Source organism: Homo sapiens, chromosome 22 (genome assembly GCF_000001405.40).
Source record: "Homo sapiens chromosome 22, GRCh38.p14 Primary Assembly".
NCBI classification, from domain to species: Eukaryota; Metazoa; Chordata; class Mammalia; order Primates; family Hominidae; genus Homo; species Homo sapiens.
In genome coordinates this window covers 35,395,570-35,419,662 of record NC_000022.11, presented here as the reverse complement: position 1 = coordinate 35,419,662, position 24,093 = coordinate 35,395,570, and the positions used below count along the sequence as shown (strand labels likewise).

The 24,093-nt window shown below is 51.9% G+C and overlaps 1 protein-coding gene across 3 annotated transcripts in view, besides 5 other annotated features; it reads right to left on the bottom strand.

The window, feature by feature from the left end:
- The window catches only part of MCM5 (minichromosome maintenance complex component 5), a 54,892-nt gene extending 35,369 nt beyond the window's left edge, over nucleotides 1-19,523 (bottom strand). For all 3 annotated transcript variants that reach the window (XM_047441366.1, XM_006724242.5, NM_006739.4), the window contains exons 1-13: nucleotides 19,455-19,523; nucleotides 19,058-19,232; nucleotides 16,330-16,456; nucleotides 16,121-16,249; nucleotides 12,938-13,110; nucleotides 11,100-11,255; nucleotides 8,753-8,919; nucleotides 6,982-7,153; nucleotides 5,677-5,788; nucleotides 3,691-3,834; nucleotides 3,259-3,324; nucleotides 2,849-3,025; nucleotides 1,807-1,919 (exon numbers count right to left, since the gene is read on the bottom strand). In XM_047441366.1, the coding sequence (XP_047297322.1) occupies nucleotides 1,807-1,919; nucleotides 2,849-3,025; nucleotides 3,259-3,324; nucleotides 3,691-3,834; nucleotides 5,677-5,788; nucleotides 6,982-7,153; nucleotides 8,753-8,919; nucleotides 11,100-11,255; nucleotides 12,938-13,110; nucleotides 16,121-16,249; nucleotides 16,330-16,456; nucleotides 19,058-19,224 (1,703 nt within the window). In that variant the 5' untranslated portion in view covers nucleotides 19,225-19,232; nucleotides 19,455-19,523. The remainder of the gene's footprint in view (nucleotides 1-1,806; nucleotides 1,920-2,848; nucleotides 3,026-3,258; nucleotides 3,325-3,690; nucleotides 3,835-5,676; nucleotides 5,789-6,981; nucleotides 7,154-8,752; nucleotides 8,920-11,099; nucleotides 11,256-12,937; nucleotides 13,111-16,120; nucleotides 16,250-16,329; nucleotides 16,457-19,057; nucleotides 19,233-19,454) is intronic.
- Nucleotides 9,015-9,154: an enhancer, noted in NCBI's record as "active region_18908". NCBI's record gives its function as "activates an Ori minimal core promoter by ATAC-STARR-seq in GM12878 lymphoblastoid cells {active_cell/tissue: GM12878}" and the evidence as "EXISTENCE:reporter gene assay evidence [ECO:0000049][PMID:35858748]".
- Nucleotides 9,235-9,454: an enhancer, noted in NCBI's record as "active region_18907". NCBI's record gives its function as "activates an Ori minimal core promoter by ATAC-STARR-seq in GM12878 lymphoblastoid cells {active_cell/tissue: GM12878}" and the evidence as "EXISTENCE:reporter gene assay evidence [ECO:0000049][PMID:35858748]".
- Nucleotides 9,545-9,604: an enhancer, noted in NCBI's record as "active region_18906". NCBI's record gives its function as "activates an Ori minimal core promoter by ATAC-STARR-seq in GM12878 lymphoblastoid cells {active_cell/tissue: GM12878}" and the evidence as "EXISTENCE:reporter gene assay evidence [ECO:0000049][PMID:35858748]".
- Nucleotides 19,759-19,918: an enhancer, noted in NCBI's record as "active region_18905". NCBI's record gives its function as "activates an Ori minimal core promoter by ATAC-STARR-seq in GM12878 lymphoblastoid cells {active_cell/tissue: GM12878}" and the evidence as "EXISTENCE:reporter gene assay evidence [ECO:0000049][PMID:35858748]".
- Nucleotides 19,929-19,978: an enhancer, noted in NCBI's record as "active region_18904". NCBI's record gives its function as "activates an Ori minimal core promoter by ATAC-STARR-seq in GM12878 lymphoblastoid cells {active_cell/tissue: GM12878}" and the evidence as "EXISTENCE:reporter gene assay evidence [ECO:0000049][PMID:35858748]".

Sequence of the window (24,093 nt, the reverse complement as noted above, 5' to 3'; positions counted from 1 at the left end):
CTCTTAAAAAACAGGTGAAGAAAAGCCAGGCACGTCTGCAGGGTGAAAACCGCCTCTTCCCCACTGTTAGACGCTGTGTGGTGTCTTGCCACAAGGTCCCCCATACATGTAATGAACAATGGCACAATCACAGCGGCATGGAGGCCCACTGGGTGGTGGGCTTTGCAGCAGTCTCAAACTCCTCCACCCAACACATCTGAAGACACGACAAGCTGATGACACCCACAGGAGGCTTGGCGGTGACTGCAGTCCAGGGGCTGGGAGCACCTCAGACTCTCCTGGGACGGTAGGTGTGGGGAAGTCTGATCAGCATCTACCCTATCCCATCCCCTCCCCTCTAGCCCCCAGGCCAACTGACAGTCACTGATGTAGGGAAAGCCTTAGCTCAACCATCCTAAGGATGTGGAGACTGAGACCCAGAGGGAGGGAGGGAACTCCCCAAGGCTACCTGGGGACTTAGTGCAGAGGGAAGATTAGAATCCAGGGCTCCCTGACTCACAGCTGTGGGCCCAAGCCTCTCAAGACTGGGCCACACAGAGCTCAGACTTGGATGAAGACCCAGGGACTACCCACTCACCCTGGCAGAGGTGCTGAATCAGGGACCCACCAGCCCCCCACTGGTAGTGCATTCAAAGAGCCCTCAACCCCTGGGTTTTAGCTCCTTCAAAAGATCACCAAAGCGCTGTACGACAAGAATCGAAGCACTGTGGTTAAGAGCACAGCCTCTGGAGGCAAGCAGCTGGGTTCACATCCTGGCTCCACTACCTCTGGCATGTGACCTTGGGCAAGTTACTTAACTTCCTTTGCCTCAGCTTCCCCATCCATAAAGGGAAGGGAATAATAGCACACCTTACCTGGTAGGTTTTGGGGGAGGGTTATAATTTATTCATATAGAAAATACTGAATAGTAATTCAGAATGCCTGGCACAAAGAAAGTAGTGTGTAAGAGTGAGTGTGTGTGTGTGTGTGTGTGTGTACACATATATATATATTTTTTTTTTTTGAGACAGAGTCTCACTCTGTTGCCCAGGCTGAAGTGCAATGGCACGATCTCAGCTCACTGCAATCTCTGCCTCCTGGGTTCAAGCAATTCTCCTGCCTCAGCCTCCTGAGTAGCTGGGACTATAGGTGTGCACCACCACACCCGGCTAATTTTTGTATTTTTAGTAGACATGGGGTTTCGCCACGTTGGCCAGGCTGGTCTCGCACTCCTGACCTCAAGTGATCCACCTGCCTCCGCCTCCCAAAGTGCTGGGATTACAGCGTGAGCCACTGCAACCAGCCAGTACTATGTATATAATTATTATTATTGAAAATCTGTGAGAACAATCAAATTGCAGCTGCGACTCACTGAGTATTTACCCAGGGCAGGGCTATGCCAAGCACTTACTCATCATCTTGTGCAATCCTTACAAAAATCCTAGCAAACATCGATAGGCCTGGGGAAATCAAGGCTCAGAGAGGCCAACCAACTTGCCCAAAGTCATAGAGTGAAGGCAGGTATGACCCAGAGCCCATGTCTACCATGTCTACACTTCACTGCCTCCCTGCATGTCAGACTCGAGGAGGTCTTCAAGACCATCTAAATCCCACCTCCTTGGTGTGGAGGTGGGAAAACTGAAGCCAAGAGCCAGTGAGCTACGCAAGGTTAGAAGGGAGCAGAGCAGATTCAGTAGAGCTGAGAACCTCAGAACAGCAACATCTGGGCTGTTCTTCATGAGGAGGAGCAGGACCAGGGGACTGGGTTCTCTCCCACCCAGGGAAGCTGGGCAACCTCACCCCCGTGGGCCTGCGTCCAGGACTCACACTCGGCAGTAGGCAATAAACTTCTTCAGCTTGGCCAGGTCAATCTCGCCCTCCACAGCCTGTGTCTGTGTCAGTGCGCTCACGTGCAGAGTGATGACATGCTTGGCCAGCATCTGGAGAGCAGAGGGGATAATGGGTCATCCCACAGGCCGTCCCAAGCCTGAGTCCCAGCACTGAGGTGGAACAGCCAGAAAGAGCTGATGGGGCCCTGGCATCAAGGAGCCGGAAAGGGTGCTGAGATCTCAGGCGTGCTCAGCCTGTTTGCTCAGCACCAGGCCCTCGTTCTGATGGGAGCATCTGGATTCTCCTTTAGAGAGAACTTAATGCTCCTTGCTCCTCTGCCCTGGTCCATAAAGGGGTGGGTTCAGCTTGTCCACCCCGACTTGGGGCATGTATCTTGTCCACCCCAACTTGGGCATGGACATAGGATCTACCCAAGCCAATAGGAGTCTATCCTGGGACTTTTGATAGAAGTACTGGAAAAGACGGGGCCTCCTCTTTCCTGGGGGCTGTTAAGCTACAAGCTAACAGGACAAAATCTTATTTTGTCTTTGCCACCACAAGAGGAACAGCTGCCCAAGTACAAAGATTCCACCAAGGGAAGCAGAACAGAAAGGCAGAGACAGTTGTTTGAGAATCCAGATCTACCTGGGCCTTAAGCCGCCGGACTTACCAATTCTATAAACCACTATGTTTTTTTCTTTGAAAAATTTACTAACCAGAACTGAGGTTCTATTACTCATAACCCAATGTCAACTCCTCTGTTTCATATATAAGGGACTGAGGCCCAGGGAGAAACTGATTTAGCCCAAATCACACAGCTTATCACTCACGGCAGAGGCAGAGCAGGCCACAGGACTCCAGACCCTGCTTCAATCCTCTGCAGTCCACAACAACCGCCCTCTCACGTGCTCCCCAATTTCACAGCCTGACAGTCAGGACTTTGCCAGCCAAGGCCCTTGTTCTCCATTCTCCTTCCCACACAATCACAAGCCTGCCTGGAGGCAGGTCCCATGGCCACCAGCCCTGCCCCTGGACGTACCACATCCCTCTCCTCATTGTGCTCATCCTTGACGATGAAGATCATGTCGAAGCGCGACAAGATGGTGGGCATGAAGTCAATGTTGTCCTCCCCCTTCGTCTCATCCCAGCGGCCGAACACTGAGTTGGCAGCAGCCAGGACGGAGCAGCGGGAGTTCAGGGTGGTGGTGATCCCAGCCTAACAGGCGACAGACGACGAAAAGGGGGAGGAGATGGCAAAGATGCCTTCTTATATACACGTTTACACACACACACACACACACACACACACACACACACACACACACACACACACACACACACAGATTCTAGGCCTGGGCAAAGAGAACTTGGTCCCAATCAGGGCAGCCTGAGGACGGTTGGGCCACGCTGGGCTGCTGCAGGCTGGGCTCTCCATGGAGGGCCACTCACCTTGGCGATAGAGATGGTCTGCTGCTCCATGGCTTCGTGGATTGCCACACGGTCATCTTCTCGCATCTAAGTGGGGAAGAGAGAAATATCATCAGACCTACTGAAGTGAGGGAGCAGGGAGCAGTAGAAACAGGAAAACTAACAGCAGCCCTCACTCCTGAATACCAGCTCCACGCAAGGCCAATGGCAGCAACCAGGTCACCTCTAATCATGGGAACAACTGTGTGGGCTTGCCTTTCTTCTCCCCACTCTTCAGATATGGGAACTGAGGCTTGAAGAGGTTAAGCAGCTTCCCACAGTTACTAGAGTGACCGGCCCAGGGATTGAAAACATGTCTCCCAAGTCAGAGGTGATTTCTGCTGGCTGAGCACAGGAAGTCACATACCCTGGTGCCACCCACCTTTTGGCTACTACCCACCTCATCAGACTCACCTTGTCAAACTCGTCAATACAGACGACCCCACCATCGGCCAGGACCATGGCTCCGCCCTCCATGATGAAATTCCGGGACGAAGGGTCCCTCATCACCGAGGCTGTCAGTCCAGCTGCGCTGCTGCCTTTCCCAGACGTGTATACCTGGGGCAGTGGGGTGGTGTCAGGGCCCAATAACAACTCCATGCTTTGACCCCCATAAGACAAAAAGACCCACTGAGGTTGTGATTTGCCCAAGGTCACACATCAAAGCTGGCTGCAGGGTACAGAATAGGACTCAAGGCTCCAACTCAGTGCGTCTCCCTCTGGAAGGGGATGCTGCCCTGGGCCTCGGTGTGCCCAGATGTTCTCCCCGCTGAGGGCATCACATCCATGGCTCACCTAAGCCTCACCACAGCCCTGTGACACAGTCTTGTGAGGCCCAACTCACAGATGAGCAAACTGAGGCCCAGAGAAGAGGAGTTAGCCTCAGGGCTAGGATGAGGACTCCTGACTCCCAGGGAAAGCCTGCCCCCATCGTGAGTCCCTTGTCGTCTCTATATAGACCTACACGCCACATACTGCCATAGAGCCCCTGAAATTGGGAAAGTCCTAACTGAGATGTCCTTAATCGTGCAAAATACGCACGATTTCAAAGACTCAGAGCTCCTAAGAATGTAAAGTATCTCAATAATCTACATATCAAACAACATGTTGAAATGAGATTTTAGATATAGCGAGTTAAACAGAAGTAACTTCACCTGTTTTTCCTTTTTTCTTTCCCCTTCTTCCTTTTAAATTGAAACGGGGTCTTGCTATGTTGCCCAAGCTGGTCTCAAACTCCTGGGCTCAAGTGATCCTCCCACCTCAGCCTCCCAAGTAGCTGGGACTACAGGTATGCACACAACCGCACCCAGCTACTTTTTAATGTGGCTGTTAGACAATCTGAGAAGACATACATGGGTCGCATGTGCAGTTCACTATTTCTACTGGACAGTGCCAGTGTGGCAAATTTGGCACACTTCCTATCTATCCAAAGACCACCATCTCGCCCTATACAACCCCGCCACTCGGATCATGTCAGACCTTCTCTGGCTCTGATCCCCGCAGACCCATTCAACAACGCAGCAGAGGACCCAGCTCATCAGACACTTGGGTTCAATCACATCCTGCTCTAATGCTTACCAGCAGTGAGACCTGGGCCAAGACACTTACCCATTCTGTACCTGAGTTTTCTCACCCCTAACACAGGGGTAATAGTACCTGCCACACAGTTGAGGTGAAGACTAAGTAAATATATGCAAAGTACTTCAAGCAGTGTCTGGCCCTTCATTTTAGCTATTATTATTATTATTATTATTTATTATTATTATTTGAAACATGGTCTCACTCTGTCACCCAGGCTGGAGTGCAGTGGCACAATCTTGGCTCACTGCAACCTCCCCGTTCTGGGCTTAAGTGATCCTCCCACCTCAGCCTCCCAAGCAGCTGGGACCACAGGTGCATATCACGCCTGGCTAGTTATTTTGTATTTTTGGTAAAGACAGGGTTTCACCATGTTGTCCAGGCTGGTCTCAAACTCCTGAGCTCAAGCAATCCGCCCACCTCGGCCTCCCAAAGCGCTGGTATTACAGGGATGAACCACCATGCCCAGCCAGATTTTAGCTATTAATGATAACAATATCATTATTTAGCAAATGGATAAACTGACGCTCAGGGAGATTGGGTGACTTACTCAAAGCCCACAGCCAATTTCTGGCCAGGGTGAGACCCAAACCCCATCCTGACTCTCAGTACAGTGTACTCGCCCCCTGCCCCAAACCTACATACACCTGTTGGCTCCCTTCTTCCTCCCATCTCCTCGGCCATCCTGACCGCAGCCAAGAGAAAGGAGGAAGAGATTCCGGGTGAGCCAGCCCACCACAGGTGTCCTGAGGACCCAGAGGCCCTGCCCTGCAGCCTTCCTCCCTGCAAGCCAAGGTGGCAAAGGTATCCCAGGCCACTCACCCCAATGGGAGAACACTTCTCCACAAACTTCAGAAGCTGGGACTTGGCTGTCCCAGGGTCCCCTAGCATCAGCAGGTTGATGTCTCCTCGGCGAGTAAGTCCATCAGGGAGCCTGGGGGACGAAGGGTAGATGGACAAGGTGAGAATCCATGAGGGCATCGCATGTGACATCCAGTCACCAGATTGGTGGGCTGGCAGTTGACTCCCCCAACTATCATGGGCCTCAGAGTTGGTAAGAAGGTAGTGGCTGTGGCCTGAGACCCATGTTCCTACCCAGCTCTGTAGTTCCCAAACCATGGTAGGTCTTGCCTAGCAATGAGGACAGAGCTTGCCTCCCAGAAGAGGAGGGTTAAAGGAAATGGCTCTTATGGCTGTGCTCGGGTACACCCAGCATCTGAGCAACGTTCCTCCCAGCTTGAAAGAAAAGGACAGAGAGCTGCCTGTGGGCTGTGCACGGTGCGGCAGAACAAGCACCATGACAGCAGGCTCCTGGCTCCCCTGCATGTGCTGGGGAGCAAGTCCCTTTAACTCTCTATGCCTCAATTCCCTCATCTATAAAATGGGCACAACAGCTGCGTTAACAGGTTACTGTGAGGAATGACTGGGCTTCAGACACATAAAGCACTTAGAAGAATGCCTGTGCGGCCGGGTGCGGTGGCTCACGCCTGTAATCCCAGCACTTTGGGAGGCCGAGGCGGGCGGATCACGAGGTCAGGAGATCGAGACCATCCTGGCTAACACGGTGAAACCCTGTCTCTACTAAAAATACAAAAAAAATTAGCTGGGCATGGTGGCAGGCGCCTGTAGTCCCAGCTACTCGGGAGGCTGAGGCAGGAGAATGGTGTGAACCCAAGAGGCGGAGCTTGCAGTGAGCCGAGATCACACCACTGCACTCCAGCCTGGGCAACAGAGTGAGACTGTCTCAAAAAAAAAAAACAAAGAATGGCTGTGCATAGGAAGAACACAGTAAATGGCAGCTGCTAATAATATCCCTGCTACTGACCCCAAGCTCAGTGCTGAGATTTAAGTCCTGGTACCTACACGACCCTAAGCTCAGTGCTCTCCCACTGCACTTGCCAGGCCCCCAGTCTCCCCCTTGCCAGGGTCAGGGCATCGCTGAGACAGGTGCGCAGATCAGCCACTAGCCAGCTGATGGCAAGCTTGGGGGCTGGCAAAGGTGCCTGGCAGACTGAGGGGCCCAGGAAATACAAAAAAGAGTGCCCAGTCCTGATTATCCAGTAATTATCCTACTGTGAGCCCCATCATCAGCCGCCTCCCCAAACCCAAGGGAACTCAAGCCCCTACCTCTTTCGGGAGCCCCCAAAGAGCAGGCAGGCAATGGCCTTCTTCATGTCTGTGCCCCCAAAGATGGAGGGGGCGATGCTCTTGGAGATGACCTCATAGACATTTGGGAGGGCAGCCAGGCGACGGAACTCCTCCTCCTCCTGGGGGCTCACGGCCCCAGCAAAGCTGCGGCCTTGGTAGGCAAAGCAGGCGCATGAGTGAGTACAAGGGAGCTCTTCCAGCCCACTGCCCATCCTGGCACCAGCTCAGGGACCTCCCAGAAGGCAGAGCCCTTAGGGCCCTTAGGGCCAGGACAGCACAACCTATCTGAGTAAACAGAGATCCCAGCTCTCAAGCCCTCAGGAATGGGCCTGGTGTGTTCCAGGGTCCAAAGGGTGAGGGGAAGTGGGGAGAAGGGTTCTGAGCAAACAGAGGGCCAGATGGCATAGGACCTTGGAAACCACTGGAAGGTCTCCCCTTTCAGCCGAGGAGTGATATAGTGTCTTGGTCATGACAGCATCGCTCACTGGCTGCTGCAGAACAGAGAAGGTAGGGCAAGGTGGAGACGAACACTGGGGAGGATCAACGGTGATCCAGGGAGGGCTGACAAGGGCTCAGAGCAGGTGGGGAGGATGAGAAGTGGTCAGATCCTGGACACGTTTTAAAGGTGGAGCTGGCCAGAGTTCCTGAGTGATTAGATGTGGGGGATGAGAGAAAAGAGCACCAAGGGTGACTTGGGGGTTTTTGTCTGAGCAACTGAAAGGGTGAAGATGGGAAGACTGAGAGGAGCCAGTCTGAGGGTGGGGAAAGGGGAGCTTAGCTTCAGCCATGTAAAGTTCGAGATGCCTTTCAGATATGTAAGTGAACATGTCAAATCAGCAGTTGGTTATTAAAGTCTGGAACGTGGGGAGAAGCCCAGGCTAGAAATGGAAATGTGAGAGCTACTTACCTGTCAGTGGTTTTAAAGTTGTAATAATCTAGGTAGTTTGTGTAAATGTGGGGTGGGCCATGGACTGAGCCCTGGGGAAGCCACCCCTCTGAATCAATTCACTGCAGCCAGAGGGCTGAAACAAACCTGAAAACCCTCAGTGGCCCCTGCTGCCCTCAGGTGTAAGCAGGAGCTCCCCATCTCGGCACTCAAGGCCTCTTACACCACCTGGCCCCTCATCCCCTAGACTCCCACTCGGCCCTCCAGCCACTCAGTACCTTGCCCAGGCCGGGGTTTTCACCTGCTCCTGCCATCCCCTCCCGCCTGGAAGTTCTTCCACATCCACCACTCTTCAAAGCCCAGCTCAGATTAACCTCCTCCCAGAAAACCTTCCCCAAGGCCCAGCCCCGACCTCCTCCTTCTCAGACCTCCTTTAGCACCTCCTTGGAACTGCGTGACCCACAACAGCCACCACTTTACCCACATGTCCCCAGCGGTCTCACAGTTTTCTTATTTCTCCAACTAGACACTAGGCGGCTGCCTGCCTGGAACCCTGCGTTTCACTTCTCTTGTATTTCCTGTCACAGAAGTGAAGACTTGGCTTTCAGTAATTCCCCAGTGATTTGACCTCAGTCCTTCTGCCTTAATCCTGCACTTAGGCAAACACCCTCAGCCCAGGAGCCACAGCTAGGACCAATGTGTGGAAGTTCCAGGGATCACTTAATATAAAAATGAACGTTCTAATGATATGAGCAACACAAGGACATCCTGGGCTACCTCATGAAGTAACGAGCTGCCTGTTACCAGAAGTATGCAAGCACAGCCTTTTAGCAGGGCTAAGCCAGGACCCCAAAGCCAACTCACCAGAGCCATCTGTGTCCACCTGGATGCCCAGGACACGGATGTAGGAGCTTCGGATGCCCACGCCCACCCTGTCACGGCCCCTGCTGGTAGTCAGGCCAAACTTCTTGATGGAGTAGATGCCCATGATGGTAACCCTGTTCCCAGGGACGACCTTGTCACACAGGTACCTGAGAGGAGGGTAGAGGAGAAAGGAGAAAAGCTGAGATTCTGACTTGGACAGCAAGTCTCTGATTCCACCCATGCCCAGGACACGCAGGGTCCACTGCAGCATTTTTGCCACAGGCACCACATGCTGAGCTGGCTCCAGCCCCACGGAGCCCAGAGAACGGCCTCTCTCCCCACGTCACTCAGCCCATGCTCAGCTGCTTGGAGGATGGTGTTGCCCACAGTGACAGCCAAACAGAAAGGCAGGTGGTGGCCTGACTCTCGCTGAACTCGCTAACTCATTTGTACGCTGGTTTAGGAGGCTTAGTGCCAGCCCACAGAGCCCTCCAAAAGCCCCATCTCCACGTGTCTGCTGTCAGCTCACTGTGTGGTGCCCTTTAGCCTCTCAGGGCAAGACTTCCTCTTCACGCCCCCCAGCCTCCTTGAGGGGCCACTCGCCCTTTTTGCCTCTTCATGGCTCTGTGAGCTCATTTTGCCTCTGGGTTTTCATTTCCTGTTTTCAAAATGAGATGTTGAAACAGGGAAGTCTCCAAGTCCCCCAGTCAGAGACAGGGTGGTGTGGAGGGACACTTAGTCGCTGTGTGACCTCAACGAAGTCATTGCACCTCTGAGCCTAGGGGGATGACGAAGTGGCCTGCCTCTCATGTTGTGGAGTCAGGTGAGGCAGCAGACATAGAAGTGCTTTATACCATCAGGCATCACAGCTCCAGAAAAGACCATCACCGTCACTCCATGAGCCTCCAACTCCCCTCTTCCCATACCCACTTCGTAAGTTTTCAGGATTCATGAACTGCTTGGAAAATCATACATCCTGATTACGTAATCTGCATGAAGGAATTGTGCTAAACACCACATGCATTTTCAAGCAGCCCTCTGAGAGATTAAGGACTGTCCTTATCCCCATTTTACTGATGAGGAAACTGAAGCTTGACAAAGTCACATAACTTGCCCAGGGAGCAAGAGCCTGACCCCTACATACTCTGTTGCCACTAATGAAGTTAACAGAAGCTACAGATCCGCTCTCCTCAGAACATCTGCATGCAATTTCAGGATATGCAAGCCCAGGTTAGAACCCTAATCAAAGATCTCAAAACCTTCCACCCAGGTTACTATGAGGGGCCCAAGCTCAGTACCCTCTCCCCCTCAGTAGAATCTTTTTTGTTTTCCTTTTTGAGACAGGGTCTCGCTCTGTCACCCAGGCTAGAGTGGAGTGGTGTAATCACAGCTCACTGCAACCTCAACCTTCTGGGGTCAAGTGATTCTCCCACCTCAGCCTCCCAAGTAGCTGGGATTATAGGTGTCTGCCCCAACACCCAGCTAATAAATTTTTTTTTTTTAGATACAGGGTCTCAGTATGTTGCCCAGGCTGGTCTTGAACTCCTGGCCTCAAGCAATCCTCCTGTCTCAGCCGCTCCAAGTGCTGGGATTACAGGCATGAGCCACCGTGGCTGTTCAGCAGGATCTTAACAGAAAGCCTGGGGTACGCTGGGCGCAGTAGCTCACGCCTGTAATCCACGCACTCTGGGAGGCCAAGGCGGGCGGATCATGAGGTCAGGAGATCGAGACCATCCTGGCTAACAAGGTGAAACCTCATCTCTACTAAAAAATACAAAAAATTAGCTGGGCATGGTGGAGGGCGCCTGTAGTCCCAGCTACTCGGGAGGCTGAGGCCGGAGAATGGCATTAACCCAGGAGGTGGAGCTTGCAGTGAGCCGAGATCGCGCCACTGCACTCCAGCCTGGGCTACAGAGCCAGACTCCGTCTCAAAAAAAAAAAGAAAGCCTGGGGTAGGAGGTGGGGTGTCAGGCTGGGAAGAGGCTTTGCCAGCTATTGGTTATCTAGCTGTGCATCCTGGGCCTCTTATCCTAAGAAGAACACAGACTTTGGAAAGCAATGCACATAGGCTGAAAGCCCGGCTCTCCTCCACACAGGAAGTCATTTAATCTCTCCAAGTTACATTTCCTCATCTGCAAAATGGGGCTGACATGCCCCTGCAGATTATGGAAAGACGAGATGAGAGGAACTTATGGAAGCATTAGGCACAGAGCAGGTGCTCTGCAACTGGCCACCTTCTCCACCCTACTCACCCTGCTCCAGATGACCCACTCCCAACACTCGGGTTAGGGCCACAGCTGGGACATCCACCGTCGTAGATGCCCACCTCCCAGCCCGTCTGCCTCACCTGTCGCAGTAGAGCTGCATGTGTCTGGGCATCTCCCCGTGGGGGACTGCATCAGGCAGCTCCTGCAGCTTCAGGGTCTGGAAGTCCACGCATTTGCATTTGTCGGGCATGATGAAGTACGGGTCCAATGGGCATTTGGGGCGCCCAGCCTGATCTCTGTACAAGGTAAGGGAAAAGAGTCACCAAAGCTACCTGGAGAATCCAAAGGCAGGGCTCATTCATCCCAGGAGCCAGCAAGGAGACGTTGCCAGCGGCAATTTATGGGGGTCTCCAGAATAAGCTGGAGATAAGCCAGGCAGGCAACGCTGCCTGGAGGTAAGAAAGGAAGGCAACACTGACGGACCTAGCACTGGATTAAGAGTCAAGGGAACTGCTTGAGGCTGGGTCCTTCCATTAACTTGCTGAGAGGAGGCAGACAGGTCACACTCGGTCTTCTTGCAGGATCATGGTGTCCTCATGGGTGAAGAGCTAGTTCATCAATTCTCTTACTAAAGCCCCACTCAAATCCCAAGATCTTTTCCAGTGGGATTCTAGGCAGTTCTAGACCATTCTGAGGGTCTAAGCCTCTACGTATCCCTAGGTAATTATGTCATTATTCAATAGATATTATAGCAACATAAAGAAGTAAACATCATAGCAAAACCTACTATGTGTCTGACACTATTCCAGGTGCAGGGGGCACAGCACTGAACAAAAAGGTCCCTGCTCTTGTGGAGCCTAAGTTCCTATCAAGGGAGGCTGAAAAGACATACAAGCAAACAATCATATTAAAGAGTGACAGCTACATGCTGTGAAGAAAAGTAAAAAAGTAGGCAGGTGTGGGAGAGACGAGGTACGTGCACACCAAACTGAAGATGAAGGGTTGGGCAAGATGCCCCTGGTAAGGGGACATGTGAAGAGAAGCCTGAAGAAGTGAGGACACAGACTATGGTAGCTTGAGGAACAGCACTCCCAGTAGAGGAAACAGCAAGGTCAAAGGCAGTGAGACTGGGGGTAGTCAGTGTATTCCAGAAACAGGAAGGAGGCAGTGAGGCCGGGCCTGGAGAGAGGAGGGGCAGCGAGGCCTGGGGAAGCCAGGAGCAGATCGTGGTGGGCTGTGCAGGACTTGACTAAGAAGTAAATGACTGGACCACCTGAGTGTCAAGGGACACCTGGCTGCTGGGTGGAAAACAGACTGAGGGGGTGGAGGGTGGACGCGGGGGATCAGGGAGGAGGTAGCGTGCCTCTCCAAGTGAGAGATGTCAACAGCATGGAATGAGGCAGCTGTGCCACAGGTGGATGGGAAGCTGAGGAGGCACCAGCGAAGGAGCCAAGAAAGAGCAGCCAGTGAAGAGGGTGGGGTTCCTTCAGACTGGGGGCAGCAAACATTTTCTAGAAAGGGCCGGAGGATGTGCATTCCAGGTTCTGCCAGCCAAGAGGCCACATACCCTGCCTTTGTAGTGCGAAACCAGCTGTGGGCAATACTTAAATGAACGAACGTGTTCCTGGGCCATAGGGTCAGCAGGCTAGATCTGGCCTAGTGAGCAAACCATAGTTTGCTTCAGAAGATTCCAAGTAGACTCATTACCCTGGACTGCTTTTCCCTCCCAACCCTGGGTTCCCTACAACGCTGTCTGGGTATCCTGGTGAGACAGAAGTCACCAATGTAGAGGGACCCTGTTCATGGTGTCTCAGAGCCACAGGGCATCAGATCTGTGCCAATCCTAAGGGCACACCCCTGCCCAGCCCATCCCAGTGGATCTCTAGAAGCAGCTGCAGGCAGTGCTTGCTACTTGTTCTCATCCTTTCTGATCTTCACTCAGGTCACCTCCCACAGTCCCTCTGGGCCACAGACTCACGTGTTGCACTTCCTGGGCAGGGCATAGCCCTCGAGGCCAGGGCGCATGGCAATGTTGGTGAGGGTGTTGCGGCAGCTGCGGCACTGGATAGAGATGCGGGTGGCCTTGGCACGGACCGCAGAGGCCGCGATGATGATGCCAGGGATCTTCACCAGGTGTGACATCATGTCCGACTGTAATAGAGCCATCGGGAAGCTTGTTGGTTAAGGGGAGCCAGGACGCATCTGAGATATGCCAGTAAATATCCTGGGCAGGAGCCTGGAGGAGGTGGGCACAGAGCTGCAGGGAGGGCCACAGCTCTTCTGTTCCGCTCAAAAAATGCTTCCAGAGCATCCACCCAGTGCCAGGCTATCTGGACCCTGGGGTTCAGAGGAGCCTCAGGCACAGCTCCTGCTTTTAAAGACCTCGCAGCACAATTGGGGGGGGAGGTGGCAGGGCAAGAGATACACTAAGCACATTTCACTACAAAGTGGCAGGTGCCAGGAGAGAGACCTGACCCCAGCTCTGATGGCGACATCCTTGGACCTGTAGAGTACAACACAGAACAAACCTGGGAGGCAGGGGCCCACATTCTAGTTCAAGTTCTGTCAAAACCTGCTGTGTGGTCTTCTGTCTGGGTCACTTCTCTTTGAGCCTCAGTTTCCCCATCTTAATGACTATTCCCACACCGGACAATAAGGCAGTAATATTTTTTCTTTTTTCTTTTTTTTTTTTTGAGACAGAGTCTTGCTGTGTCGCCAAGGCTGGAGTGCAATGGCAGGATCTCGGCTTACTGCAACCTCCGCCTCCCGGGTTCAAGCGATTCTCCTGCCTCAGCCTCCCAAGTAGCTGGGATTACAGGTAACTGCCACCATGTCCAGCTAACTTTTTGTATTTTTAGTAGAGACGGGGTTTCACTATGTTGGCCAGGCTGGTCTCGAACTCTTGACCTCAGGCAATTCACTGGCCTCGGCCTCCCAAAATGCTGGGATTACAGGCATGAGCCACCGCGCCCGGCCGTAATGTTAATTTTTAAGTGTGATGTTATTGTAGCTATGCCTTTAAAAATGACTCTTCAAAGGCTGGGTGCAGTGGATCACGCCTGTAATACCGACACTTTGGAAGGCCGAGGCGGACGGATCACTTGAGATCGGGAGTTCGAGACCAGCCTGGCCAACATGGTGAATCCCCGTCTCTACTAAAAATACAAAAATTAGCCAGGTGTGATGGCATATGCCTGTAATCCCAGCTACTCGGGAGGCTGAGGCCGGAGAATTGCTTGAACCGGGGAAGCAGGGGTTACAGTGAGCTGAGATCATGCCACTGCACTCCATCCTGGGCGACAGAGTCAAACTCCGTCTCAAAAAAAAAGAGATTCATCTTTTAGAGATACATGGAGAAATAGTTCCAGATCAAATTATATGATGTATGGGACTTGTTTCAAAAGAACTCCAGGGCCACAGATGAAACAAGATTTGGCATCTATGGATCACCTGAGGTCAGGAGTTCGAGACCAGCCTGGCCAACATGGTGAAACCCCATCTCTACTAAAAATTAGCCGGGCGTGGTGGTGTGTGCCTGTAATTCCAACCACTTGGGGGGCTGAGGCAGGAGAATCACTTGAACCCATGAGGCGGAAGTTGCAGTGAGCTGAGATCGTGCCACTGCACTCCAGCCTGGGCAACAAGAGCAAAAACTCCATCTCAAAAAAAAAAAAAAAAAAAAATTGGCCTCTAGTTGCTAATTATTAAGCTGGGTGATGAGTACAAGAGGATTCGTTATACGATTCTCTTTATATTCTAATGTTTGAATTATCCATAATAAAAAGTAAAACATAAATTCTCAGCCGATCCACTCCTTCCTATGGCCAGCCCTTGCCCTTCACAAAGCTCCTGAGCCACTAGTGTACAGGACTGGGACAATCTCTCTCCACCTTGTCTCCGTTTCTCAATGCCCTCCTCCGGCTGAACGAGAGAACCAGACATGAGCAGAAGTTTTGCTGGGGCTCTCAAAGAAAGCAGGAAGAGGCTGTGGGAAGCAGAAGCGAGGCTGGGGAGGCGGAATTCAAGACTCCATGCCTGCATCATTACAATAAAGTGACCATCACCACCTCAACCTAGCACCTGGTCAGTCTCAGCATAGTGGATGGAGGGATGCAATGAGGGATCCAATACCACCCATAAGCGTTCTTGCCCGGTATGTGAAATCGAAACACAGTCAGGCCTTTGCATCTAACTTCCAGCTTCCAAAAATCACGGGGGGGAAGGGGTATGTTGTAACCACCCCAAGGAGGCCTTCAGATAAATCTAAAAGGCAGCACATTCTACAGGATAATGGCTCCTGCTTCTTTAGCAAATCAATAATGTATCTGTGAAAGAACTTACACCCAGAGTAAAGGAAGCTGTCCTGGATTAAAAGAGATTTAAACAACAATCCAGTACAATGCCTGGTCCTGGCTGAGACACACGAGCTGTAAGAGTCATGTGAGGTAATTTGGTCAATCTGAATCTAGACTGTATATTCAATGATACTAAGAGATCTTTGATGTTTCAGTTGAGGTGCTAATGAGACTATGTAAGAAAACTTTTTTTTTTCGGGATAAAGTGTCATGTCTGTAATTTATTTTTTATTTTTAGAGACAGGGTCTTGCTCTGTCACCCAGGCTAAAGTGCTGAGAGGCACAATCAGAGCTCACTGTAACCTCAAATTCCTAGGCCCCTTGATCCTCCCACTTCAGCCTTCCAAGTAGCCTGGACTATAGGCATATGCCAGCATACCTAGCTTTGTTTTTTTTGTTTTTTTTTTGTTTTGTTTTTTGGAGAGCCAGGGTCTCAAACTCCCGGTATCAAGCAATCTTCCTCCCTCGGCCTCCCAAAGTGCTAAGATTAGAGGCATGAGCCACTGTGCATGAATTTACTTTAAAATTCTTTAGCAAAAAAGAAAAAGGACAAAATAGGAAACAACACAAAATGTTAATTATTAAATCTGGGTGAAGCTTTATGGGATTCATTATACTACTCTCTGCTTTTGGGTGTGTAATTTTTCATAACAAAAAGCAAAAAACAACAAACGATCCTTTTGTCTCCAGGAGGAGACAGGTTCAGAAAGGTCAAGTGCCTCACTCAAGGCCACACAGCTAGCACTCAGGTCTGGCTGCATCCAAAGCCCTCTGCACCATGCAGCAGCCACTGCCCTCCGACCCACCTTCAGGCTACGAATGCTGGAAGGGCTGGCGTCCGACTTGAGCATGACCTGGATGTCCTGGAGCACCTCCTCCCCAGAAGGCCGGGGCCGGGTCACCTCATCAGCTACCTCCTTGGCAGCTTCCTCCAGCTGGAGAAAGGGAAGGGCACAGGCTATTAGTAACTGGGGCAGAGCAGCCCTGGGAAGCTCAGGGATGGGGTCCCACTCACCAGCTGCAGGTGCTCGGCTGGCTGCTTGTACAAGTAGTCGGCCAGGTCCTCATCAAAGCTGGCCAGATCCTCCATCTCCACCTCAATCCAGTACTCCCCCAGGTTGTAATGCCGCTTGAGTTCATCCCTGGAGTGGGCACATAGCAGGGTGGGGCAGGAAGGGTGCAAAGAAGAGGAAACCAACACTGGCTGAGGTGTGCCTGCACCCCTGAATCTGCCCACACCACAGCCACCATGACCTCACCATTCCTCTTCCCAAACACACATCTAATTCCAGATCATTCCATTATTTAACCCTGCAGAGGCTACTCACTGCTGGCACAGGCATGCCCTAAAGAAAGCTCCATGGAAGGGGTCCACAAGACAGTCAAAGGATGTTTCAACACCCAGGCCAGCGTGCACAAAACAACAAACCAGTTCTGTCACTGAAGGACTCCGCAGAGCCTTTAACTTCTCTTGGAAAAGAACAATGCACACAGCTCAAACTTGGGGCCCAGTGAGGTGGCTCATGCCTGTAATCCCAACACTTTAGGAAGCTGAGGAGGGTGGATTACTTGAGGCCAGGAGTTCAACACCAGCCTGGGCCACATGGCAACACCCAGTCTCTACTAAAAATACGAAGATTAGCCGGGCATGGTAGCATACGCCTGTAGTCCCAGCTACTGAGGCATGAGAATGCCTGAACCCCAGAGGTGGAGGCTGCAGTGACCAGAGATCTCGCCAGGGCACTCCAGCCTGGGCGACAGACTGAGACTCTGTCTCAAAAAAAAAAACCAAAAAGGTACCAGCCTCACCAACATGGAGAAACCCCATCTCTACTAAAAATACAAAAAAAAAAACCTAGCCGGGTGTGGTGGCGGATGCCTGTAATCCTAGCTACTTGGGGGACTGAGGCAGGAGAATCACTTGAACCCGGCAGGCAGCAGTTGCAGTGAGCCAAGATCACGCCACTGTACTCAAACCTGGGTGACAGAGCGAGACTCCATCTCAAAAAAAAAAAAACAAAAAACAAAACAACAAAAAAACTGGAGGCACCAAGGCAGCAGAAAACACATCTGCCTTATCAACCTCTAGTCAGACTGTTTTTTTTTAAATAGAGCCTGGGTTTCACTATGTTGCCCAGCCAGGTCTTGAACTCCTGGGGTCAAATGATCCATTGGCATCAGCCTCCCAAAGCGTCGGAATTACAAGCATGAGCCACTGCGTCCAGCCCAGATGCTTAGCAGAGCATCCCATGTGACTGCTGTGGCAAGAACATATTTGGGGACCACTGACCAACGCACAGGCTGTTCCCCAGCCTCGCAGTATCACAGGCCTGAGCCCCGTCTCCCTTATGTCCAGGAGCCAGTAAAATGGCCAGACTGCTACTGAAAGCCACTTGCTGTGAGGACACCCCACACCTCTACACAAGCAATTGCTCCTACCTAGACAGAAAGCTTTCTACACCTGCAACTCTGACCTTAGCTCAAAGGTCCCCTCAAACTTCAGCCCCCCGGAAAACTTCCCTAAGTCCTTTCACCTTCCTCTGTGGAGGAAATGACCACCGTGGAAGTTATCTGTTGGTCTTCACGACTCACTCCTCTGACTTAGGAGCTTCTCTAGGACAAGAAGCACGTCTTTTCATCTTTGTAGCGCAGTGCCTGGCACACAGGTGGGCAATATCAGCTGCTGCATGAGTAAGTGAAAGCAGGAATGGCTTTACCCATTTCTGGCCTGGTGAGGCCCAGAGACACTGACACCTGGAAGTCACTCAGCTAATAATGGGCCAGTGCTGAACCTGCAACCTCATGTTCTCTGCATTTTAACATTTCAGGGATAGAGGCCGGGCCTATGAGAATTCTCATGATGTCACAGGTCGTACAATCACCTAGAAGCAGGAGCCAGGTCCAGCTTCAGTGCTGCAGCCCAGCACCCAGAACAGTATCTGGCAGGCAGCAGGTGCTCAATCAATGAAGGTGCAAGACTGGTATAAATAAATGAATGAGCGAAGTGAAGTGAATCCTAACTGCCATCTTCACCTTTTACACCTACAGGGAACTTGAGTTTGTAAGGTCTCAGACATGACATGGAAGGATGATAGGAAGCAGATGAACAGGAACAAGATCTGGATAAAGAACTAAACGGTCCAAGTGGCGCTAGCTGGTTGCTGGTGGCCCACTCAACAGGTGACTCACCCAGAAGTTAACTCCAGGTACAGATAAAATACACAAAGCAGGCCGGGCACGGTGGCTCACGCCTGTAATCCCAGCACTTTGGGAGACTGAGGCGGGTGGATCACTTGAGGTCAGGAGTTCGAGAGCAGCCTGGCGAACATGGCGAAACCCCATCTCTACTAAAATTACAAAAAATTATCCGGGCGTGGTGATGGCGGGGGTAGTCCCACCTACTCGGGAGGCTGAGGCACAAGAATCGCTTGAACCCGGGAAGCGGAGGTTGCAGTGAGCCGAGATCGTGCCACTGCACTCCAGCCTGGCGACAGAGCGAGACTCCGTCTCAAAATAATAAACAAATACGTTAATAATAAAATAAAATAAAATAAAGTAAAACAAAATACACAAAGCCTTATACCAAGGCGTGAGGCTGCCGGGATGAGCCCTGTGACCCAGGACCGGCTCTTTCCCCCGTCTGGGCCCATCTGTGCCCTGACTGTCCAGGACTCTAGCAGGCTGGTAGAGGCGTGTGAGCGGCCACACTGGAACTCGAGCCCCCGGCCCCGCAGGAGCCGCACCTGTATTTGAAGGTGAAGCCCGTGCGGTCGGTGCCCACTCGGTACTGCCGCAGGAACTCCTTGAAGCGCCTCTGCAGCTGCGATTTGCGGGCCTGCCCCTCGTCGGCCTGGGCGTCGCCCCCGAAGCTGTCGCTGTAGAAAATGCCAGGATCGTCGAATCCCGACATGACTGCGCCTGGGGTGGGAACAAACGGCCAGAACAGGCTGGGGGCAGCGCCTGGCACCTCCTCCCCTCCGACGCCTGGGTCCCTGCCCTGAGTCCGGAGCAGGGGGACCCCCGGCCGCGCTCCCGGACTCCAACCCCAGTTCCCGAGAAACTCCTGTCCCACTCCAACTACACCCGGAAATCCAGATGCCTGCTGGCTCCCAGTCCCAGTCCCACTCCCACTAGCCTCACCTCTGGTTTTCCGCACTTCACAAACCAGGGGAGACAAGAACCTCCACGCTCAGCCGCCGAGTTTCGCGGGAAAAACAAGAGGCGGTGTTCGGACGCCGCAGCCGCTGCGCTCCCATTGGTTCGCCGGAGCCTCGCGGCCAGCGATTGGACCGTTCTGAGCCCTCCAGCCCCGCCGCCCGGACTGTCTGCCGAAGATGATTGGCTGCAAAGTGCATGACCTCGCCTCCTTCCGGGCTCCATTTTGTGTGCGGAACAATTTGGCGCGAAACTTCTGGCTGGGAAGGAAGTGGCGGCGCAGGACGGGGCGGACGCAAAGATGGCGGAGGGGCGGGCGCGCGGAGGACGCCTTTAGGTGGTTTCTTTTTTATTTTCTTGGTTTTTTTTTTTTTTTCCTGACGCATGGTCTCGTTGTGTTGCCGGGGATGGAGTGCAGTGGCTGGATCACGGCTTACTGTAGCCTCAACCTCTTGGGCTCAAGCAATCCTTCCGCCTCAGCCTCCCTTGTAGCGGGGACCACAGGTGTACGTGATTTTCTTAAAATATTTCATAAAGACGGAGTCTCACCATCTTGCCCAGGTCTCGAAACTCTACTCTCAAGCGACCCGCCTGCCTTGACGTCCCAAAGCACTGGGATTACTGGCGTGAGCTACCCGGCCAGGCCTGCGTGCTTTTCTTAAGCCTTCTTTTAAAGTCCTATGAAAAAAAATGACCCTTTTCATAGCCATAGGGAGAAAAAACTAGAAGTTCAGAAATGATTGGGTCCAGGTGCCCATTTTGCATTGGGAGACTGTGCCCTGTGGAGTATTCGCTTCCCGGTCGTGGGGCCCGTTCTCTGGGCCTGAGGCTCTGAGGAGCCCCTGTCCTCCAGCTGGTGGCAGGACAGGGCGATTACCGCGCGGCTCACCCGCGTCCCCGACCCGGGTTCTCGCACCCTAACACACTGCTTTTATTTGTTTATTTATTTGTTGAGAGGGAGTCTCACTCTGTCCCCCAGGATGGAGTGCAGTGGCTCAATCTCGGCTCACTGCAACTTCTGCCTCCCCGGTTCAAGCGATTCTCCTGCCTCAGCCTCCCAACTAGCTGGGACTACAGGCAGGCGCCACCATGCTCAGCTAATTTTTGTATTTTTAGTGGAGACAGGGTTTCACCATGTTGCCCACACTGGTCTCGAACTTCTGGCCTCAAGTGATCCACTCGCTTCGGCCTCCCAAAGTGCTGGAATTACAGGCGTGAGCCACCATGCCCAGACCGGCCTCATTCTGTTTAACAGCTGCTTAATTTTCTGTAGTATGGTGACAAAGACTCTCCTTGACCAAACTCTAGCCAGGTTCCTCTGGGCTCCCTTCACTTCTAAGCCTCAACCTTGATCTATAGGCACTGTGGCTCATGCCTGTAATCCTAGCACTTCAGGAGACCAAGATGAGAGGATCCCTTGAGTCCAGGAGTTGAGGCCAGCCTGGGCAACATAGCAAGATCCCGCTTCTCTAGAAATTTTTTTATAATTTTTTTTGTTTTGAGACAGAGTCTCACTCTGTTGCCCAGGCTGGAGTGCAGTGTCACGATCTCGGCTCACTGCAACTTCCACCTCCTGGGTTCAAGCAATTCTCCTGCCTCAGCTTCCCAAGTAGCTGGAATTACAGGTGTGTGCCACCACGCCTGGCTAATTTTTTGTATTTTTAGTAGAGACAGGGTTTCACCATGTTGGCCAGCCTTGAACTCCTGACCTCAGGTGATCCACCCGCCTGAGCCTTCCAAGATGCTGGGATTACAGGCATGAGCCACTGCGCCCGGCTTGAAATTTTTTTTTAATTAGCTGGGCATGGTGGAGCACACCTGTTGTCCTAGCTACTCAAGAGGCCAAGGTGGGAGGATGGCCTGAGCCCAGGAGTTTGAGACTGCAGTGAGTTTTGATTGCACCACTGCACTTCAGCCTGAGCGACAGAGCGAGACTCATCTCTAAAAAGAAAAAAAAGACAGTCCAGGCGCCGTGGCTCACACCTGTAATCCCAGCATTTTGGGAGGCTGAGGCGGGAGTTCAAGACCAGCCTGGCCAACATGGTGAAACCCTGTGTCTACTAAAAATACAAAACTTAGCCGGGCGTGGTGGCAGGCGCTTGTAATCCCAGCTACTTGGAAGCCTGAGGCAGGAGAATCGCTTGAACCTGGGAGGCGGAGGTTGCAGTGAGCCGAGATCGTGCCACTACACTCCAGTCTGGGCGACAAGAGTGAAACTTAATCTCAAAAAAAAAAAAAAAGAAAAGAAAAAAAGACTTAAACAAACACTAACAGTTTCTAACAGCTGCTAACATCTCTAAAATGACTCTAGCCAGCCCCCGCTAAGGTGCCTGCCTGAGAAAACTCAAGGCTGCTGGTAAATGTTTACCGTTTATTCCAGGCAACAACCGAGGATGTGACCTCTGTCTCCCAGGCTCTGTGGGAGGCAAAAATTCTAACTTTGATCATTGCCAACTGGCAGACACAGCTAGCCTCACTGCATTTACACTGACTTAACCTTTTGTAATATTTCACTTCCCTGACTCTACTAATCACTTGCCCACCCCTTCCTCCCTCAATCTTCCTTTATTTTTTTTATTTATTTTTTTGAGACAGGGTCTCTGTTGCCAATGCTAGAGTGCGGTGGTGCAATCACAGCTCACTGCAGCCTTGACCTCCCAGGCTCGTGCAATCCTCCCACCTCAACCTCACCACCATGCCCGGCGAATTTATTTATTCATTTGTAGAGATGGGGTTTTACCATATTGCCCAGGCTGGTCAACCTCCCTTTAAAATACCTCTATACAAATTAAAGCTGAGTTCAGTTCATACTGAACTCTCTTCCCTGTTGCAATAATCATTACTGATTAAAATCTGTCCTTACCACTTTTTTTTTTTGAGACGGATTCTCGCTTTATCACCCAGGCTGGAGTGCAGTGGCATAATTTCAGCTCACTGCAACCTCCGTTTCCCAAGTTCAAGCAGTTCTCCTGCCTCAGCCTCCTGGTAGCTGGGATTACAGGCACGCGCCACCATGCCCGGTTAATTTTTGTATTTTTAGTAGAGACAGAGTTTCACCATGTTGGTCAGGCCAGTCTCAAACTCCTGACCTCATGATCTGCCCTCCTCGGCCTCCCAAAGTGCTGGGATTACAGGCATGAGCCACCGTGCCCGGTCGTCCTTACCACTTTAACTAGTGTCTGGCTTTGTTCGACAATTGATAGGAAAAAATTATTCAGCCATTCTCCTATTAGTAAAATTCAAGATAGTTTCTCTCTCTCCCCTCCCCTCTTCCTTCCTTTCTTTGTCAGTACAATGAATATCTATTCCCCTTTCACAAATGAGGAAACTGGGCCCAGGGCAGGAGAGTCCCAGCTGCTATTGGGTTTTTGTTTTGTTTTTTTGAGACAGAGTCTTGCTCTGTTGCTAAGGCTGGAGTGCATTGGTGCGATCTCGGCTCACTGCAACCTCAGCCTCCCGGATTCAAGTGATTCTCCTGCCTCAGCCCCCGGAGTAGCTGGGATTACAGGCATGCGCCACCACTTCCAGCTAATTTTGTGGTTTTAGTAGAGGCAGGTTTTCACTGTGTTGGCCGGGCTGGTCTCAAACTCCTGGCCTCAAGAAATCCGCCTGTCTCAGCCTCCCAAAAGTGTTGGGATTATAGTCGTGAGCCACCGTGCCCAGCTCCAGCTGCTATTTGAATGCCTATGCTTTGCATACGTGACCATACGTGCTCCTGGACCTGGGTGCGCGTTGGACTCTCCTAAGGTACTTTTCAAAAATACTGATTCTAGGCTGGGTGCGGTGGCTCGCGCCTGTAATCCCAGCACTTTGGGAGTCCAAGGCGGGCGGATCACGAGGTCAGGAGATCGAGACCATCCTGGCTAACACGGTGAAACCTGTGACCTCCGTCTCCACTAAAAATACAAAAAATTAGCCGGGCATGGTGGTGGGTGCCTATAGTCCCAGCTACTCAGGAGGCTGAGGCAGGAGAATAGCGTGAACCCGGGAGGCGGAGCTTCCAGTGAGTCAAGATCGCGCCACTGCACTCCAGCCTGGGTGACAGAGCAAGACTCCGTCTCAAAAAAAAAAAAAAAAAAAAAAAAATTCTAGAGCCCCATCCCAGGTGGAGCCCTGGATTCTGTGGTTAAGTATCTCCAAGTAATTCTGATGCCACCATGCACAGACTGGTGTTTGGACACCACTGGATCCTCCCACCAGCTGTGAGAGGTATGTGTATTGTTCTCATTTTACCAGTGAACAAAATGAGCCTTGAAGTGGCATAGTCAGACTAGTGACAAAGGTCTCCTGACTTCCAGTCCTTAGGTACTGGTCCTATAAAGAAACACCTTGGCTGGGCACAGTGGCTCACACCTGTAATCCCAGCACTTTGGGAGGCCGAGGCAGGTGGATCACGAGGTCAGGAGTTCAAGACCAGCCTGGCCAACATGGTAAAACCCTGTCTCTACTAAAACTAAAAAAATTAGCCGAGTGCGGTGTCATGTGCTTATAATCCCAGCTACTTGGGAGGCTGAGGCAGGAGAATTGCTTGAACCTGGGCAGCAGAGGATGCAGCGAGCTGAAATCGCACCACTGCACTCCAGCCTGGGCAACAGAATGAGACTCCATCTCAAAAAAAAAAAAA